The sequence below is a fragment of the Homo sapiens genome, chromosome 20 (genome assembly GCF_000001405.40).
Source record: "Homo sapiens chromosome 20, GRCh38.p14 Primary Assembly".
Taxonomy (NCBI): Eukaryota; Metazoa; Chordata; class Mammalia; order Primates; family Hominidae; genus Homo; species Homo sapiens.
In genome coordinates this window covers 7,223,656-7,244,672 of record NC_000020.11, presented here as the reverse complement: position 1 = coordinate 7,244,672, position 21,017 = coordinate 7,223,656, and the positions used below count along the sequence as shown (strand labels likewise).

Genomic DNA, 21,017 nt, shown 5'->3' with positions numbered 1-21,017 from the left:
GCTATTCAAACATGTCACCTCATATCTCTAAATATGCTTTCAGTTACAAAAGCCACCAACCAAATAAGGCCATTTAAACTTAAATTAATTAAAATTAAATTAAAAATTTAGTCCTTCAGACATGCTAGGCAGATCTCAAATAATCAACAGCAAAATGTGGCTAGTGGCTACTATATTATTGGATGGTACAGAAACAGAACATCATCATTGTAGACAGTTCTAGACAGCAGTGATATAGAGCAGGGCTTTTCAATGGGCCAGTTCTACCCTACAGGGGGCATTTTTTGGAATCTAGTGGGGTACTGTCAGTTTTCACAATAATTTCATAAGAAAATAATACATAATAAAAATTGTTCTACTTTCTCATAATTTTTTATTATCTTGTAAAATATTTAAACAGACAAAAGTCCTATTTGGAGTTATCTGAGTCTAGAACTGAACTGTTAAATATACAATGCAAATAGTTTTAATATATACTATCTTTTATTGGAATGTTCCTATCATGTGAATTCAGGTACTCTGTGACTTGGCTTAGTCTGTTCAGTGTTTAGAAAAATCACATCATGAACAGAAACACCACTTATGGTGTTTGAGTAGCAAATAAAAGTCTACTTGTATCTCTCATTGAACACAGCCAAGAACTCTGAGGAGCATACATGGAATTGAGAACTTTGAAGGATAATTAGTAGCAGGCAGATTAGAAAAGAATACTAGAATTTAAAATGCCACCAAACTAGAGATGAATTTATCATTTTTCCCTTCTAATCTTCCTACTGCTTAGCCATACAAGAGCAAAGTAAACTCAAAGAAAGGAGGAAATAATAAAGAAAATAACAAAATTAGTAAAATTGAAAACTAACAAACAATCCAAAAACAGAAAAAAAAAATCAAACCAAAGAGTTGTCTGTTTGAAAAAAAAAATAAGATGGCTAAATTTCTAAGAAAAATGACAGAAACAGAGGGGGAAGATATAAATTACCAATACCAAGAATAAAAGAGAAAATACATTACAAATACCCACAGGCTTTAAAAAGATGAAGAACTACTGCAAACAACTCTGTATACGTACATTTGAAACTCAGATGAAATGGACCAATTCCTCAAAATCACTAATGTTCAAAACTCATTCAAACTGAAATAGATAGCCTATTAAGCCCTAAACTGTTAAGGAATTGTAATCTATTGTTTAAAATCCCCACAAGTAAGTCTCCAGGTCCAATAGTGTCACTGGCAAATCCTACAAACATTTTGGAAAAAATGACACCAATTCTATTCCAGGAAACAGAAGAGGAAAAACACTTCTCAGTATTAGCCAGCATTACTGCAACACCAAAAGCAGACAAAGACAATTTAAGAAAAGAAACCTACATACCAATATCTCTTATGAAGATAGAAAAAAAAAACCCAACAAAATATTAGAAAATCCAAACCCATCAACATATAAGTGAACAATGATAGTAAAGGAATAATGAACCACAGCCAAATGGTATTTGTTCCAGAAATGCAATGAGGTCCAATATTCAAAACTCTATCAGTGGGCTGGGCACAGTGGCTCATGCCTGTAATCCCAGCACTTTGGGAGGTCAAGGCAGGTGGATCACCTGAGGTCAGGAGTCCAAGAGCAGTCTGGACAACATGGTGAAACCCATCTCTACTAAAAATACAAAAATTAGCTGGGTGTGGTGGCAGGTGCCTGTAATCTCAGCTACTTAGGAGGCTGAGGCAGGAGAATTGCTTGAATCCGGGAGGCAGAGGATGCAGTGAGCAGAGATTGCACCATTGAACTCCAGCCTGGGTGACAGAGTGAGACTCCATCTAAAAAAAAAAAAACAAAAAACACACAATTCTCACGATGTAGCCAACCACATTAACAATAAAAACAAGAATGATCTCTTTAACCCTTATGCCACTGCATAAGGGTTTTCTTCACTATGCTATCTATACCTGATTTATTCTTTAAAAAACACAATTCAGAAATCATTCCCTCTTCACTGTGTCTGCTTCCACCCTGACACTAAGTAGGACAGGTTCTCTAACTCTTTCTAATAACTAAAACCATTGGTTAAAAATCCAGATAAATCTCCACTACAGGATGTTTTCTATGAAATTGCAATTATCCTTTTAATTGTCTATTTTCTGCCTTAGGCAAAAGATTTTTATTTTTTTTCTTTAGGACACTCATTTCTAAATTGGAGTTCAGTGGTGTGATCATAGCTCACTACAGCCTCTACCTCCCAGGAGCAAGGGATCCTCTTGCCTCAGCCTCCTAAGTAGCTGGGATCACAAGCACATGCCACCACACCTGGCTAATTTTATTTTTTGTAGAAACAGAGCCTTGCTTTATTGCCCAGACTGGTCTTGACTTGAAGAAAGAAGAAAGTAAGCCAAGCATGGCAGCACATGCCTATAATCCCAGCATTTTGGGAGGCTGAGGCAGGAAAATTGCTTGAGGCCAGGAATTCAAGACCAGCCTGGGCAACAAAGCGAGGCCCTGTTGCTAAAAAAATAAAGTAATAGCTTGGTGTAGTGGCATGTACCTTATGGTCCCAGCTACTTGGGAGCCTGAGGCAAGAGGATTGCTTGAGCCTGGGAGATTGAGGCTGTGATCATGATCACACCACTGCACTCCAGCATGGGTGACAAAGCAAGACCCTGCCTCACACACACACAAAAAAAGTATGGCAAAGGTACTTTACTCCAGAAAAATGAGAAAAGGGGTGCTCACAAAATTAAGTAATTGTTCTACAGAAAGCGATTCCTCCAGTAAAAATAACATCAGCCTTCATTTTTCTTTAGGATTTGGGTTATAGGATTGGTAATTCAGCGTGAAGTTCACGGATGCCTGTAAGTAAACTGGAATCTGAATATACAAAGTTAAGTCAATGTTTCACTCTTAATTAATGAAAGGTGATCCCTAATTTGGGGGAATATTATATCAGTCAAGATGAGGAGTGCCTTCTTTTGCATAAAGACAGCAGAGAAAGATCCAAGAGCCAGAGTGGATCTCAAGTTTTATAAACACCCTGGTAATGAGACTGCTAGTTTGTTCATTTGATCCTAGGTTATGTGAAGAGCATGTCTGGCAAGAATGAATGCAATCTTTCAACTTTTTGCCACAGTGAACAGGTTCTTATTAGTACACTCAGCTTCATTTTTCTTCTTATATCTAAAACATATTCAGGGGGAAACTGATATATTAGGTAAGCCTACATAAACGATCAAAGTTTTGCAGACAGAAATGTCTGGGGATAGACTGGTTAAAAAATTGATGCAGCTGATCAAAAAAGGAAGTGGTTTTTAAATTCAATGTGGGATTATAGCTCCAGCTTAGCAGAGAAAAGAAAGTGCTTAAAGGAAATAAATAATGATACTTTCATGTTAGGGAAAAATGGACAATGACCACTCAAACACTAAACAGTCTGAAGCAGACAGAGGATATGAATTTTCTCTTAATGGATATTTAATTAGGAGTGAACAAAATGGTTCTGAGGATTTCCTCTAGGTCTAGATTTCTAATGGGAGATGGAAATTTAAAATACTTTGATCTCTACATCTGAACATTTTCACTGTTCTTTATTACTGCTTATTTCTTAATTAAATACCTATGTACTACCACTTTGGGTCGGCCTTTCAAATCCTCCCAGCCCTTTTCCCTTTCCTTCCCTTAGTAGATTGAGTGCTTTAAGAGTTCCAATCTCCCCTCACTTTCTGTAGCCTCCTTACTACCACTTGCCTATGTGTCATGTGACTGTTCCATTATTTTCCCTGAAGTGCTGGAGTCTATTTTTTCCACATCTTAATACTGAGTCTAGCCATGAGATGTTTTGGTCAAAAAGGATGTTAGCAAATGTGACGCTTGCAGAGGATCACAAATCAGCATATGAGCTTCTGGTTCCTCTCTTGCTCTTACATCAGTGTTATGAGAATATGCCTGAGCTAGTCTCCTGGAGAATGAGAGCTATGGAACAGGCTGGGACACCCACTTCACTCCGGCTGAGTACATACTAGATCAGTCAACAGCTAGCCAACACCCAGACATATAAGCCAGCAAGTCAAGATCAGCAGAGCCACCTAACCAACCTGCAGGCGGTTAGGCCTTTTAGAAGGAATCTCATATAATTTAGCATTGTTTTCTCCCTTTCTCCATGATGAGACATCTTCTTTATTGGAGAGCTTGTTTGGTATCAGTGTAAACAATTTACCTGGTCAGCCAAATGGCAGCTTCACTCTTTCCTCTATTGGCACCTGCTGTGATACCGTTTCTCACACCTGGCCTTTGGCCATACGCTTCTATTCATGGTGCTTTTTGCCAAGGTGTCTTCAACTTTGAGAAATCTTGCATATCTTCATATTATGTCTGTATCCACAAAACTCAGATTATTTAGGTCTTCTGGCATGCATGTTATGACATGGGGAGCATTGACATCCTTTTCCACACTTCTCTGAAATATCAGGAGACCAGAGAGTGAGAGAAGGAAGAGTCTACCTGTACCTGTCTTGCTTGTTTTTGCTCTATAGATTATGCTGACATGGAGAACATTTCTATGAATCACTGTCATCTAGACACTAAAACCTAGTCTTGACCTGGGAGCAAGAAACAGGTCTCTTCTGCCCCTGTAAAGCCCTCATTCCTGTCCAGACTTTCTGTTCTTCAGGCCATACCCCAAGATTCAGTCAGAAAGCAGTCTCCCTAATTCCTTCTTAAGAACTCACCCATGCTGAAGGTCTCTCCCTCCTCTCTGAAATTCCCTCTCACCCCCATCAAATGAAACTTTATTTTCCATTCAGGGAATCCACAGGTCGTTTATCAATTGTCTTATGCAATATTGCTTAAGTCATAGTCTCTATGCTAAGTTGCCTTTAGGTCTTGTTTTTGAAGTTGTAAAATATCTGGCTTGTGCTAATCAATAGCCTAGATTTTTCAGACTATTGTCCCTGACATGAGTTTCAGGAGGTTGTTTCAGCATTCAAAACAAGAATTTGACATTTTCTTCTCTTTGTTTCATCTCTTTTATGTATGGTATGTTTCTGGTGAAACATTCAGGTGGAGCATAAGGGGAAGATTATATATCAGGAAAATAGGGTTTATTATTTTTTATTAATATCTAGCAGTTTTATCCTGACACTGTTAACAAAATATGAAGTACATATATATTAAGTAGCTTGATTTAGCCATTCCACAATACATGCATATTTCAAAACAACACATTGCATATAATAAATATATATAATACTTGTCAATTAAAAATATTCTTTAAACTAAAAGATAATGGCTTAGATGAGATGGCCCAGAAGAGTTTACACAGTGAGAATAAATAAAGATTAAAGGCAAAATCCTGGAGAGCATTAACATTAAAGGGACAGAAAAAGAAAAAAGAGGAATCTGTGAGGGAAGTAACAAGAAAGAGACAAAGAATGAAAAAAGAAAACCAGAAGAGGCTGGGTGCAGTGGCTCATGCCTGTAATCCCAGCACCTTGGAAGGCTGAGGGGGGTGGATCACTTGGGTCACAAGTTCGAGACCAGCCTGGCCAATATGGTGAAACCTCATCTCTACTAAAAATACAAAAATTAGCCAGATGTAGTGGCAGCCACCTGTAATTCCAGCTACTGGGGTGGCTGAGGCAGGAGAATTGCTTAAACCCAGAGGCAGAGGTTGCAGTGAGCCAAGATGGCGCCAATGAGATTGTGCCTGGGTGACAGAGCAAGATCCCATCTCAAAAAAAGAAAAGAAAAAAGAAGAAAGGCAGGAAGGAAGAGAGAGACAGAAAGAAAGAAAGAAAGAAAGAAAGAAAGAAAGAAAGAAAGAAAGAAAGAAAGAGAGAGAGAGAGAGAGAGAAAGAAAGAAAGAAAGAAAGAAAGAAAGAAAGAAAGAAAGAAAGAAAGAAAGAAAGAAGGAAGAAAGAAAGATGGAAAGAAAGAAAACCAGAATAGTCTGGTGACATAGGAATCAGGAAAAGAAGAGAAGTTTAAGAATGAAGGAATGGATCTATTATGTTAAATTGGAATACAAGGTTGTGTAATAATAAAGAATTCTGTCTGAAACCAAGAATTTCTGAGTTGACATACTGACAGTCTTAAAACATCCCTCAACTTCTTGAAATCTTGCTTATCTCATCTACAAGATATGCATAAAATAGTATTAAATATTTTTGGTCGAGTTGTGAAACAATGAGATACTGCCCAATGACAAATTACAAAATAAGCTATGATTTAAAGATCACGCTATACTACCTTCATGAAATCAATTGGTAATATTTTCTGTATGCTAAGGAATAGTTTTAAAAACTGGAAGAAGAGCCAGCTGACTTAAGGTCTTTGGGGAAAAACAAACTTTAACAACTTTTATTTCACTTATTTGCATTTTCAGTATTTCAGCTGCATCTTTACTCAAATGTTTTGCTTCCTAGTTGGGTAATAAGTATTGTGCTTACACGTCGGAGAGGATGCAAGAACGAGTAAATTCAATTTTAAACAATAACTAGTAGGAATTTATAAACAAAAAATACTAAAACCATAAGAAATATTAGCTCCATTAAGGGAACCACCTCATACAAATCTGGCTCTTAAAGTCTAAAAACACAGCAGTTAAAACCCTATATTTCACAAAAAGTTCATCAATTTCTCCCTCTTCCCTAGCTAGTCTGAAAATGGGTTTGATTTCTAGGAAGAGAATGTTTAAGCAATGCTACAAAAGTTCTGAGTTATTTTAATTTTTGTTGAAGCAAATCTAGGTAGAAATCCTGAATTTAGAGATACTATTCATAGGTTGACAAACACCCTAGCCAAGGCAACATACTGAATTAGTTACAAGGTAGGTGAAATAAATTTGATGACAAGAAAATTTAAACGTGCTGGAAACATTGACAATTCATGAACTATAGCTACTGATAACTCCACTTAGGATACCCTAACCAGATGTAATCGAAGAGCTGAGATAACCATCAATATCCAGCCTTTAAACTCAGGTTTAAAAGGAGAACGAACAGCATCCAGATGAGTTCCTGCCATACTACTTCTGTGAAAATCAAAGATCCAAATAGAGGTTTTCATGTTAAATACAATGCACTCATCAGAGATCTGGCAGGAAGGAGACTACTGCAGTCTCTCCTACATCTGGGCATGCATGAGACATAGCTGTTAATTAAAGCAGTTTTTGTCCTTCAGTCATTCTATGTTTTTCTTGACTTATGCCAGAACCTTGGCTGGATGGGATATTTTTCAAGTGTGGTGACTCAATCCTTTATTCTTGTGGAATCTGAATCTTAGATTACCATGGTTTTCCATTGACTAGCGCTATTTGCAAAGGAAGTACTAACATACTACCAGAAAACTCTCTGGGTTTCAAGCATACTCCTTCTTGCCCACAATATGTAATGTCAACCTGAATTCTACCTTGTAATGGACTTCAACCACTCTACTCAGAAGAGTAATTCGCTTTTCTGCCTGTTGGTTCAGTGACACAAGAAGTCCAAGGTGGTGGTGGGGAGAGGAGACTGTTAATTCATTAGAACCCATGACCATATGCCTGGAGGAAGCATTGTCTTCGTGGCCACTGGGACTTCCAAACATCTGAGTCCAAAGTTGATAAGAGACAGGAAGCAAAAGTTATTTATGTGCATTTTATATATAATATTGAAAGGAGTCACTTCTACCTCAAAGACTTGATTTTTAACTATAAAAAGGAGAGATCCTGTGGTGACCAACACTTTTTGAGGGCTACCCCTGCATAGTGTTGAAAGATAGCTGTCCACTTCTGGCTGGTGCCAGCATGCCATGCCCATTCATCCACAAACCAAGCCTGAGCTTTTTTCTCATCTGCTAATGGTCATATGAGCTTCCCTTGACTTAATATATGTGGAAAGAGGGAGGGGCAACATAGCAAGAGGAGAGGTAAAATGGAGCTATCTACTTCATGCCATTCTAGTTATACTTTCCAAGCCTACTCAGTCACGATCTCACAAATATGATTCTTCTTTTATAATGAAGTGCAGCTGTGCACATCTAATTTTACAGTTCAGTGAATCAAATAATTCTCAGTTCATGACAGGTAATTCAGGCTGCATAATCACTTGATGTTCCATAATCAGGGATTCAGTCTGTCGGCGCCCAATAACAAGCTAGAAGTTTCTTTTCAACTGAAGAATATTTGTTACCTGAAGATGAGATGGCCTTACTCTAAAGCCCCAAAAATGTATAGTGTGATTCTCCTGTTGGTGCTTGCCAGGGGGGTCATGAACCATCTCTTCTGGCCACAGACATCTAAGTTCTAGTGGGTCCTATGGATCATAAGGCCCAAGTAGCTGAGTAGCTTAGATGAGAGCCAGAACTTGATCAGTAGTGGATTTTTTTTCTTCAACTTTTAAGTTCTGGGGTACATGTGCAGGATGTGCAGATTTGGGCTTGTTGCATAGGTAAACATGTGCCATGGTAGTTTGCTGCACAGATCAACCCATCACCTAGGTATTAAACCCAGCCTCCATTAGCTATTCTTCCTGATGCTCTCCCTCCCCCTGTACCCCCTACAGCAGATTTTATTCTTTAAACCTCCTGAAGGAGTATTTTGCAGGCCTCTCAAGGGTAGAGTGAGAGAGTAGAAGGTTAAGGGACCAAACATCACAGTTTTCAAGGGACTATCCTGGAGTTGCCACTGAAAATCTCATGTCCCAGGAAACCCCTCAGTCTTTCTTAGGCATATAATCTTGTTGGCTGCCCTAGGAAAAGAGCAAGTTGCACATAACAAATCTTCATCAACACTCCCATCTACCTGAGGTCTTAGATTTCTTTAGGATGCCAAGGATGTTATAGCATTTCAACCTCATTTTGTTCGAACTACAGGTGGCTGACTTATCAGAATGTGAGTTATATTTATAAGTTTTCAAGTCAATAAATTTAATTTCAAATTCTAGGTGAAAGTACTCATGTCAATACTTTATCTTACTCAAGGCTTTCTTTCTTTTTTTTCCTAGCCTAATACCCTTAGATTTCATTGTCATAGATATATATACCCAGATCCTGGCCAGTACAGATTGGTGAAATTCTGTAACTCCTTTGGCACCTAGACTGCTCTATCTGCAGATCAGGACTGGTGTTTCATGCGTCTGAGCTATGTTGGCATCTAAATCTCATGGTGGCACTGAAGGTGATAAAGCATGATGGAAGTGTGTATTGAAAACAACTGATATACTCTTATGAGAAATTGCCCCATATGTCCAAGTCTTGCACTCAACATAAGTCTTTTATGCAGAGGATGAGTGGATTTCTCAGAAGAGAAAAAAGGGTTTCCTTAGCCAACAGGACAGAGTGAGTGGAAATTAAGGAAATCATATATTTGGCCCAAATAAATCAACTTCTCGTATACCAGTGAACCAGTCTTTCTTCTCCAGAGGCCTAATTTTAGTGTAAGAAATTTGGTAGCTTTAACATGTGAAAGATAAGATAAGGGTTGCAGAGTAGCAAGAAGGGTTGCAGAGTAGCAAGACCTAATCTCAGGATAAGTCTTCAGACATATTTGCTCCACAATTGCAGGAGATGATGAATTCTTTTATAGCTGCCATCAAGGCTTTCTGATTGTTCACCAACATTCTCAGTTGTACATTCATGTATTTCAATTTCCTCTTCTCTTTGTGCCGTCTAGGACCATAAAAAGAAGCCAGGTGACCTATAATCTCCATCATCACTATAGTTGTCATAGTAAGTGCTTCAGTCACTTGAGGTCTCAACACTTTGCCTCCACCTGCACTTTATTTCACCTGACCACCAGCAACCATCTGAGAAATTGTGATGCTACTAACCAAGATGTGAACAAACAGAATGCACAAATGATAAATTGGTCAAATATATGTAACCAATGGAGAGCATGGATTCAGTTAGATATGATTTATGGGCAAAAGCAATGAGAAGTTTACTGGCAGAATGTAATGTAAATGCAATAATCCTTAAAGGAAACTTTTATAATGTAAGCTCAAGAGCCTCAACGTTAGAACTTAGGTTTTCAGGTCTTTTCTGAGTATGCACACAGTCCTGTGCATACACATAGACTTCTGTATGTGGTTGTCCTTCAGGATTCCCAGGAACATATCAGAGCTTTTCAAAATTATGAATTGAGGCAAAAATCCAGCAGCCAATTTGAAAAATTATTTATAGATATTATCTTATTTTTAAGTTATGAAATCAAGACTATTTACAGTTTTAGATTATTTACAGTCATACAATCAAATGCATGAAAAATAAATAAAGAATAAAAGCATTCTAAGTTTTGACTGTGGCAGAGGAAGAAGGAGATGTAGGAAGGGAAGAAAGCCAATGTAGCAACGTGAGAAGACAGAGAAAATAGTGAAGGATACCATTTTAAATAAAAGAATATTAAAATAAACACTGCTAGCATGTTCCTAAATTTACCATTGATATAAGTGACTGAAACTAAGTCAACGATCACATTTCACTGTATCTTAAATATGACACTCTTAAAAAAAAGTAAGTATAAATGTAGAAAGTAAAGTGCAAAAATATAGATAAATGCAAAAAAATTATTTTAAAAAGAAAAACAACAACAACAACAACAAATAACACTGCAGTTCCAACGTTAGTACTGGATGATTGGAACTCAATCCAAACCTGTTTAATAAGACCAAAAGGCTCAAATTATAATGGAAAGGATATAAACACCTATACAGTGGAAATATCCTTCATGATATTTTTAATGCATTAAATAACATTGTATTCAAATACACTAAACTAAAATCTAGAAATGAAGGGAGAAATTGACAGAAACAAAAATTATAGATGGAAACTTGATTTGTCTGCTAATGGGAAATAAGTAGAGAAAACAAGTAAATCATAGATAAGATCTGAATATGGATAAAGTCGATTCATTAAAGACACATAAAAGTTTATACCCTGAACTATCAAACTAGCAATGCACATAAAGAAAAGATAAAAAAGAAGTTATATATTTATGAAAGGGGGACTAAATTTGGTATTACTCTCCAGTCATAAGATTATTTGCCTAGGAAACATAGAAAAATAAATGAAAAACTATTTTTAAATATAAAAAAATCATTAGCATTTTTAGAATAATTTACAGATTAATGTTAAAAGAACAGCCAGGAAAATATTCACAGAAAAAACATACCATTTACAATAGAAAGAAGAATAATAAGAAAGGTGACATAACTAGAAATGATTACTAGATATCTATTAAAGCTATCAAAATAAAACTTTAAAATTTAAAATTCTTCTAGTCTATATTCTTTGTTATGTGTGTCCATTGAAGTCTCTGCTCAGTTATCTTAATGGTCGTTTAATGATTGGACAGAGATTTCCTTAACTACCTGAAACTAATGTCTTCCACAGTCTTTGTTGAGGGGTTTTGTGTGTGTGTTGGGTATACTTTCTACATTCAAGAAGTTACAACTCTACCTTAGCCTTCACTTCCTGTTTACACAGAGCCTCAAGGTTAGAACTTAGGTTTTCAGGTCTTTTCTGAGCATGCACAGAGTCCTGTGCATACACATAGACTTCTGTATGTGGTTGTCCTTCAGGATTCCCAGGAATGTATCAGAGCTTTTCAAAGCTCCCTGTGAGTGTACTATTTCCCTACTTCCCCTTTTAAGGTTTCTTTGCCTATTGTTTTCTCAGTCTACCATCCATTGCCTCAGGCAGCTGTGGTGTTATACAGTTGTCTCTGATTGTTTCAACAAACAATCCTGGGGAAAAGGCTATTCACATTAGGCAAGTTCCAAGTCACAGTCAAATAAAGATATCCTTGCAAGTAGTGTATTCCAGTGAGTCACTAGACAGGTCAAATAACAATAATCCTCGAGGAATGCAATTTTAAAGGAATTCCAAATCCATTCTGTCCCGACCAGTGGCTTCCAGGATGCAATGTTAGTTTTTATGATGATTAGGATGTGGGAATAGTGCTACAGTACTGCAAAACTGCTTATTTGTACCAATATTCAGCCATTGTTCTTGAATAAATATCCCTGGAGTTTCTGCAAGCATTGATTGATTTCTATAGTTTTGAAAATTTTAATTCTAATAATTTTTACTAGTGCTCTCATTGCTTTTATGGAGGAGAGAATTTTAGAGGTCCTTACTCTACCATTTTTTGATGCCACCTCAGATCACATATTGTGGACCAAGAGTCTGAATTCATGGATTTATCAAAATGTTCCTAAGTGGACACCTCAGGAATTCAACATATGATATTGAAGTTTTCCAAGGGTTGATCAAATATCTTGAGCTAATCAATTAGAAACATCACATAGATGATTATATGAAGTTTCCTGAGTATTGTATATAATCTTTCAATGAGAACAAATAGCCCTGAAGTTTGAGAAAATAGCTCAGTTGGTCATTTATATTGCCATGTGACAGATCAACACAAATCTTAGCGAAAAGACAACAAATATTATATTATTTCTCATGAACTTTGTGGGTAAGAAATTTGGAAAGGACTTTTGTTTTGAATCATGGTTATGGTCAGATGGTAGTTATGGCTGGAACATTCAAATTTGGGGGACTAAAGTACCTGGCAGTTGCCTGGGCATCTCACTTTCTTTGTATTAGTCTCGTGCCCTTACCATGTGCTCTTTGTATGTGAGATAGTTTGGGCTTCCTCACAACATGGCACCCTCATGGCTATAGAATGATTTCTGTAGCCTCTGAAAGCTTCAAGAATGAGTATTCCAGCAAATAAGACAAGTGACATTATCTTTTATTATCTAGCCTCAAAAATCATACAGTATTATATATATTACATTTTATTGATTACAAATGGTTCATAAGTCCACTCAGTTTCATGCGGAAAGAAATAGGTTCTACTCCAGGATGGAACAAAGGCAAGGTTCTAGAAGAGCATGCATGGATGGAGATAATGTTGTAGCCAATTGTGGAAAATACAACCTGGCACTCAATTATAAATTTCATCTGCAATCACTGGGAACTTTGAGAATTGATAAATATAATTTAGTACTCAGTAAATGACTCATGAGTGTCTTTAACACTTTGTAAAAATCAATAGTTGATGATATCCATAAACTTCTTTATAGATAATTGATGTCTTGAGTAATTGACCTTCAGTTTCCCTTTAGACTGAATGTAATTGGTTTCAGTTTTCATTATAAGTTAATTATTTGCCACTGAGATGAGGTAGAATTTGCCAAACCAGTTTCACTTTTTGACTCATCACTAAGTATGTTTTATCCCATTGCTATGTTGACTTCTATTAATATAAGCCCACAAGTTGAAACATTGCTTCCAACTCAATTGCTTAGTTTAAAAGGCAGAAATTATTTTGGTAAGACATGACAAGGATGATGAAATGCTTTGTGTATCATTCTTCTTTATAAGACACCATGATTCTGACAACTTTCATTCCTCATTTAGTATTGAAACATTGCCATCTTTATTAAACTTGTTGTCAGGTATATCTACTGAGGACCAATTTGCTATGTATGTCTCATCTACAAATTGTCCGTGGAGTGAGGCATTTGTAGCTGAGATGGGGATTTGATATTCAGGTTGAATCAAACCTCATTACCATGACTATTAGCATTTCTAACAAGGCAGTATAAAGTCTCTGGAAATAGTGGCAATTTTGCAAATGTTTGGCTCTTAAGTGTTTAATGTCATTATTTTTACGTTTTATTCTAAAATGTGATAACACTACAAAAGAGAATAAATGTAAATGTAGAGTATACTGCATAATCACAAAGCAAATACACATTTAGCCACTACCAAAGATGAGAAATTAAATCTTGCCAGAAATTCTGAACTCTTGCTCCATATTTATTCCTCCTCCGTGACATACCCTTTTCCTCATCCCTTTAAATAACCACTATACTAGTTTTTATGATAATTGCTTTCATGGATTATTAAATATATTTTAGCAATTTGGTATACAACTATAAAAAGTATTAATTTTGCCTATTTTTAACTTTAACTGGAGGAGCAATGAATCTAATACTTTGCAACTTGATTTTCTTCTCTCACAGTTATAAAGTGCACTCAAGTTGTTTATTGATTCTGATTTTCAAGTACTTAAAATAGTTTGTAGCATGCAATAGGTGTGTAAAGATGCTAATTTTCACATTTCCTTATTTTCAGTGTTTTCAAATCCTTAAACAAATCCCAGTCTGTTTATATTTGGACCCAAGAGGACTTCACTTTGCATTAACAACCCCAAAATTTACATTTGGATTCATTTGATTTTTATTATAAGCCAAATCAGCTTATTCCCATATTCACTTTTACAAAATTTTTTATAGAGACTGAGCTGCCTTTTCAAACTTTTATTTGCGTAGATATAAAGCCAAATAGAAAAACTTTCTTAGATGAAAATCTGGAATTAAAACAAATTCCAGAAAAATCACATGGGCAATATTTAATGTGTGCTGGCACTATTGTAAGCATTTTATATGTGCTGACTTATTTAGCACTCATCACAGCCCTATTATTACTTACTTCAGTGTTATAGATGAGTTTAAAGAACCAAAGCTAGGTTTGACAACTTGCCCAACATCAAACTGCTAGAGGCAAAGTTGCGATTTAAACCCTGATGCTCTGTCCCAACATCCTATGCTCTTAACCAGTACATTAAACCTCTTAGATATGCGCTCACCTTCAGTGGAAGCTTTTACTGAATACAGATGGGTCTAAGGTCCTTTTGTTCCTAATCAATTATTTCCATGGCTTTATGTAGGTCAGTTAGGGCAGCAAGGAAGGCTTTTCCATGAGATAGAAGGTATCAATAAGCTGGCTGGAAAAACAAGGATCACATTGCTAACCCACATCAGGAGAGCTGGTGTGCCTTGGCTCTCCCATGGCTTGTTTAGAGCCAGCAGAATCATCTCCATGAAACTAACACATGAACCTTCAAAATGAACCAAATTTCACAAAGCTAAGAGGGAAACTCCATACAATTTTGTTAGCAAGACTCCTTAAGCACATTCACTATTTGTTTCTTGTCCCCTTGCTGTTTCTGGGTTCAGAATCCTTCTAGAGCCCGTAAGTTCTTGCTGTCATTCGCGCTTATTTTCATCCAATCAGAGGCTGACATAGAGTTTCCAACCTTAGCCGGACACTATTCTTGATCAACTTGTGCTAAAATCTAGTGTCCTTGGGCTAACCCAAGGACAACCCCGAGGCCCTTAGCTTTATTGTCTCTAAAATGAGACATATGGGCCAGGCGGGGTGGCTCATGCCTGTAATTCCAGCACTTTGGGAGGCCGAGCCAGATGGATCGCTTGAGCTCAGGAGTTTGAGCCCAGCCTGGGTAACATGGAGAAGCCCTGTCTCTACCAAAAATACAAAAAATTAACCTGGCATGGTGGCATTTGCCTGTGGTCCCAGCTGCTTGGGAGGCTGAGGTGGAAGGATAACTTGAGACCATGAGGCAGTGGAGGGTGCAGTGAGCCAAGATTGCATCACTGCACTCCAGCGTGGGTGACAGAGGGATACGGCATCTTAAAAATCAATAGATAAATACATAAATAAGATGAGATATTTGAACAAAATGACCCACAAGGTTTTGGCAGTTTCACAACGCCGTGCTTCCTTTCCCAGCACTTGCAGTGTGGTCTCCTGGGTGTCGTTATAATGTATCACCTCAGTTAGATAATATCAGAAGAGCTTTATTGTCAGATTTCACACAGAAAAGACCAGATATGGTTTGTGTTACTTCATGTTGGATGAAGCCATAATAATTGAATATTAGAGAAGGAACCTATTAGAGATGGATTGTGTCTAATTCACTTATTTGGATAACTATTCTATTGGCGTTTGTTAGCAAAAAAAAGCCACAGGCTGGCCTAACTAGCTATAATTTTATAACCCTTGTTTTAAAAGATTAAGTGGTTGTTTTGGGCTTAGTATAGGCAGGCTGCTCTAATAACATAAAACGAATTTTGTTTATCATCTGAATCCTTGGTTATTGATTGGAGAATATTTATTCTCTTAGATTTGTTATTCACAGAATTTTGCCAAATATTACCAAGGAGGTGACATTCAGGAATATAATTTCCTAATATGTAGCATCACCATGCTTCATCTTAATTTCATATTTTATAAAAGAATAAAACAAGTGATCCAGTACATTTTGGAAAATTAAAGATGTAAAAAAGTAAAACAATTGAATTTAATTAATTCAACTTAATTCAATTAACTCAATTTAATTTATTCAACTTGTTAGGCAACCAAGGGTTTTTTTTAACATTAATTTTACTAAATAAAATGTCAGACCTAAATAACATAATTTAATTGGTTGTTTTCTGAAAAATGAGTTTATTTTTTTCTCCAAAATAGACTATTTCCATATACTCTTCAACAATATTATGGGTTGTTTTCAAGCTGTTCATGTCCACTATTTGACTTATACAAGGAAAACAAGACTTGCTGATGGGAGAATAAAATTAAAATATGTATAAAACTTCTCAATGTAAAGGATATAATACAAACAGATTATGAGCATTTTATATGGGAAGAATAGAAAAAAAATGAAACAAATTGATCTGTTTAATAAATGAAGTGTGGACTTAGAGGGAATTAAATTAAAATGTTTTTCAACTCCTTTAAACCTGCAAGTCTAACAATTAATATACTATTTTACAACATTAAAATTTTTAAAGATTTAAAAAATGCTAGTTTATTTTCAAAAATATTTTGCTGCATTCTGACTGCCATAGAAATCAATGAAGAGTTAGTATTTGTTGATTTCAAATATAAATTCATTTTCTCAATTTCGTTTTCTTCTAAATCCAGAACCCTGGAGTGTAGTCAGACCCCTTTCTTCAGTTCTATCTGCCTCAAGAGTCTCTCATAGACGTGGCCACTTTATGAGTTAAAGGGCATTTTTTTCCACTCAGTATTATTTGATGCAAAAATGCAGAAAGATCAATTAGAGGTTCTTCTTTGAGAACTCAGGAGACAGCAAACAGGGCATCCTTTTCATGAACTGCTAACAGTAGACAGGCTTTTAGAAAAAGTAATTTTAAATTAATGGGAGCAAGTCTTTGATGCAGTTAAAACTTCAAAGACATGCCAAGTTTTTATTTGTAATAATAATAATAATAAAAAAAAAAGGAGTTACAGTAAGAGGAGGTTGCACATTAAAGCTTACAAAATCTCCCTAAAGGGCTTGGTGTGACAGGAGTGTGGGCAGGGGTTTCCACTTCTTTCTCTCTCTCTCACTCCCCCTCTTTAACTCCCTTTCTCTTTCTCTTGTTTTCCCTCCCTTATTCCCACCTTGCTTCCTCCCTTCCTTCCTTCCTTCTGTCTTATCATCACTTCTCCCTTTTATACTTCTTGTGGTTACATCCAACTTAGTTAATAACCACTAACAAACCAACAGTGCCAACTCTCCAATCTCACAAGTTTAAAAAACCAAAACTGGCTCTCACTTGGGAAAGATAAAATTACCCTGATAATTTGTAAAAAATCTTTTTAAGGGCCAGACGTGGTGGCTCATGCCAGTAATCCCAGTATTTTGGGAGACAAAAGTGGAAAGATAAGTTGAGGCCAGGATTTCAGGACCTGCCTAGGCAACATAGTGATGCCTCAGGTCTACCAAAAATAAAAAAATGAATTAACTGAGCATGGTGGCACACATCTGTAGTTCCAGCTACTCTGGAGGCTGAGATGGGAGGATTGCATGAGCCTGGGAGGTTGAGGCTGCAGTGAGCTCTGACTGAGACACTACACTCCAGCCTGAGTGACAGAGTGAGACTGTCTCAAAAATATATGTATATATTTAGTTTAAATGAAGAAGGAGTCATTCATTGATTTGGACAATTCCTTTTACTTGGCAAGACTGGGATGCCACATAATATATCTGAACTAATTAAGAACAATAAGTCACTTTCAAACAGAAGAAAGGAAGAGGGAAAAAATGCCAGTGAGGTACAAGAAGCTTTAGCTAATGAGGGGTGCTCCACTTCATTTCTGTTGATGCCTCATGCTAGGAACTGTGAACAGCTGTTGTATAGATTTAGGAGTAATCAGAGTAGGCCAAGCACAGTCATATGGCAAACAGTAGGCCTAGTATTCCTCTAAGCAGTTTTTTTTTAAATCTTTGACTCTACTCATGGAAGCTAATACCTAAGCAATGTGCAACAGAGCTGAAAGAAACAATTCTAGGATAATCAGTTCCTACAGAAATAAAATATTCTACATTGTTAATTAAAGTCAATGTAACTGTGTAAATTATATATATGTGTGTTTGCCCACGAGATCAGCAGCTCAGCTCACCTCCTAAAGAACAGATAATTACTTGCCAGCTGCATTACCGATTCCCCAATGCCCAAGCATGCCACCAGGGACCTGAGGATTGTTCTGCCCCATCTGCTACCCTGTCAGTGAAAGTGCACCACCAGGAAGCCTCACAACAGGCCCAAAACACTTGTTTCTAGCACCAAAGCACATCTTCTGGAGGCCTGGGGATTGCCCCACCATATCTACCTCAGCTGACATCTATGTACTCCTCCAACAAGCCTGAGGACAAGCCTACCCACCTGCCACCACCACCACTGTGGGTACCCACCATAAGTGCCACCTGGGGTACTGGGGCTGGCCTGCCTAGCCCATTACAGCCACTGCTAACATCAGTGCCTGTTGCCTGGGCACCCACCACCATTACTGCCTTTGCCCACATAATGCACCTTGCCCAGGGGTGCAAGGACACACCCAGCAGCCTGGCCCACCACTCTTGGTGAGCCACCTGGAGGTTCCAAAATTGAACCCGCTAATACCCGCATCTGTATATGCTGCCCAGGAGCTTGCAGACAGGCACTCTCAGCCTTCCACTGCCACCACTGGGCCTAGAGGACTGGCCCACCTGTTATCTTTGTCCCCAGCAAAGCCTTGCCACAGCCTTTACTAATAACCACTCCCTAAGTCACTGAGGAAAATACAGACACTACTGTTGCTGTTTACAGCTGAAGAAATCACACAGAGATACACTACTGCATGTATCCAGAATCAAAGCTAAAGTGCCCCACTGAACAAATACCTTGGATATAATCTCAAGAAAAAGTCTTCCCTTACAAAAATGAATCCAAAAACTTGAAAGAAGTGACAGTTGCACAATATGTGCAGATATCAATGTGAGGACACAAGAAACATGAAACAGAAATATGACATCGCTAAAGGAAAACATTAATTCTCCAGCAACAAATGTCAATTAAAATTATGAAATGCCTGAAAAAGAATTTAAAATAATGACAATAAAGAAGCATAGTGAGATACAAGAAGACACAGATGAGCAATACAAAGAAATTAGAAAAACAACTGATGGTATAAGTGAGGAATTCACCATAGACAGATATATCATACAAAACAAACAAACAACAGAAATTCCAGAACTGAAGAATTCAATCAATGAAATAAAAAATACAACCAAGAGCCTTAATGATAGACTATCTCAAGCAGAAGGGAAGAAAATAGAACTGGAAGACAGAGCCTTTTAAAATAACAGGCAGACAAACAAAGAAAAAAAGACTAAAAAGAAATGAAGAAAATATCCATGACCTATGAGACACCATAAAGCAACCAAATATTTGAATCAGAAAAAAACCATATGATCATCTCAATAGACACAGAAAAAGCATTTGATAAAATTCAATATTCCTTCATAATAAAAACTCTCAACAAACTAAGCATAAAAGGAACATACCTCAATATAATAAAGGCCACATATGATAGGCCCAGAGTTAAGATTATACTGAGTGAGGAAAAGCTAGAAGCCTTTTCTCTAAGAGCTGGAACAAGACAACTTTGCCCACTTTTGCTACTTATATCCTACATAGAAGATCCAGCCAAAGTAATTAGGAAAAGAAAGAAAGACAAAAGACATCCAAATTGCAAAACGGAAAGTCAAATTGTTCCTATTTGCAGATGATATTAAATTATGTTTAGAAAAACCTAAAGACTCCATTAAAAAAGTCTTAGATCTGATAAATAAATTCAGTAAAGTTGCAGAATACAAAATCAATATACAAAAATAAGTTGTATTTCTGTACCTCAATAATGAGCCACTGGAGAACTAAATCAAGAAGGTAATTCCATTTACAATAGTTACCCCAAAATATAAAATACCTAGAAATAAATTTAATCAAGAAGGTGAATGATCTCAACAAGGGAATCTACAAAACACTGATGAAAGAAATTAAAGAGGAAACAAAGAAATGGAAAGACTTCCTTTGCTCATGGATTGGAAAAATTAATATGCTTAAAATGAGCATATTATCCAAAGCAATACATAGATTAACTGCAATTCTTAGCAAAATACCAATGACATTTTTCACAGAAATAAAAAAAAATTCTGAAATTGTATGGAACAATACAGGAAAAAAAAAAAGATCCTAAGCATCCGAAGGAATCCTGAGCCAAAAGAGCAAAGTTGGAGGAACAGTTTAAAATATATTGCAAGGCTATATTAACAGCATGATATTGGTAGAAAACAGATACATAGACTAAGGGAACAAGTAAAGAACTCAAGAATATATCTACGTATTTATAGCCTAGTGATTTAAAACCAAAGCACCAAGAACATACATTGGAGAAAGGATACCCTCTTCAATAAATGCTGTTGGGAAACCTGGATATCCATCTGCAGAGGAATGAAACTAAAGCCCTAACTCCTGACATATACAAAAAAAAAAAAAAAAAAAAAACTTCAAAAATGGATTCAAGACTTAAATGTAAGACCTGAAATTATGCAATTACTAGAAGAAAACACAGGGGAAGGCCTCCCAACCATCAGTATAAGCAAGTATTTTATGGCAAAAATCTCAAAAATCACAGACAACAAAACTGAAAATAGACAAATGGAATAATATCAAACTAAAAACCTGCACAATAAAGGAAACAAAAAGTGAAGAGACAAAATATTTAATGGAAGAAAACACTTGCAAACTATTCATCCAACAAGGGACTAATAACCAGAAGATACAAAGAACTCAACCCACTCAACAGCTAACTGAATAAATAGCAAATAGTCTTATTAAAAAGTGTGCAAATG

General features: G+C 36.7%; 1 long non-coding RNA gene across 1 annotated transcript in view; it reads left to right on the top strand.

Annotated features, from left to right (window-relative positions):
* The window catches only part of LINC01428 (long intergenic non-protein coding RNA 1428), a 107,736-nt gene that overhangs the window by 9,530 nt on the left and 77,189 nt on the right, over positions 1 to 21,017 (top strand). The window contains exon 3 of the long non-coding RNA NR_110609.1: positions 2,797 to 2,844. This is a non-coding gene — a long non-coding RNA (long intergenic non-protein coding RNA 1428). The remainder of the gene's footprint in view (positions 1 to 2,796; positions 2,845 to 21,017) is intronic.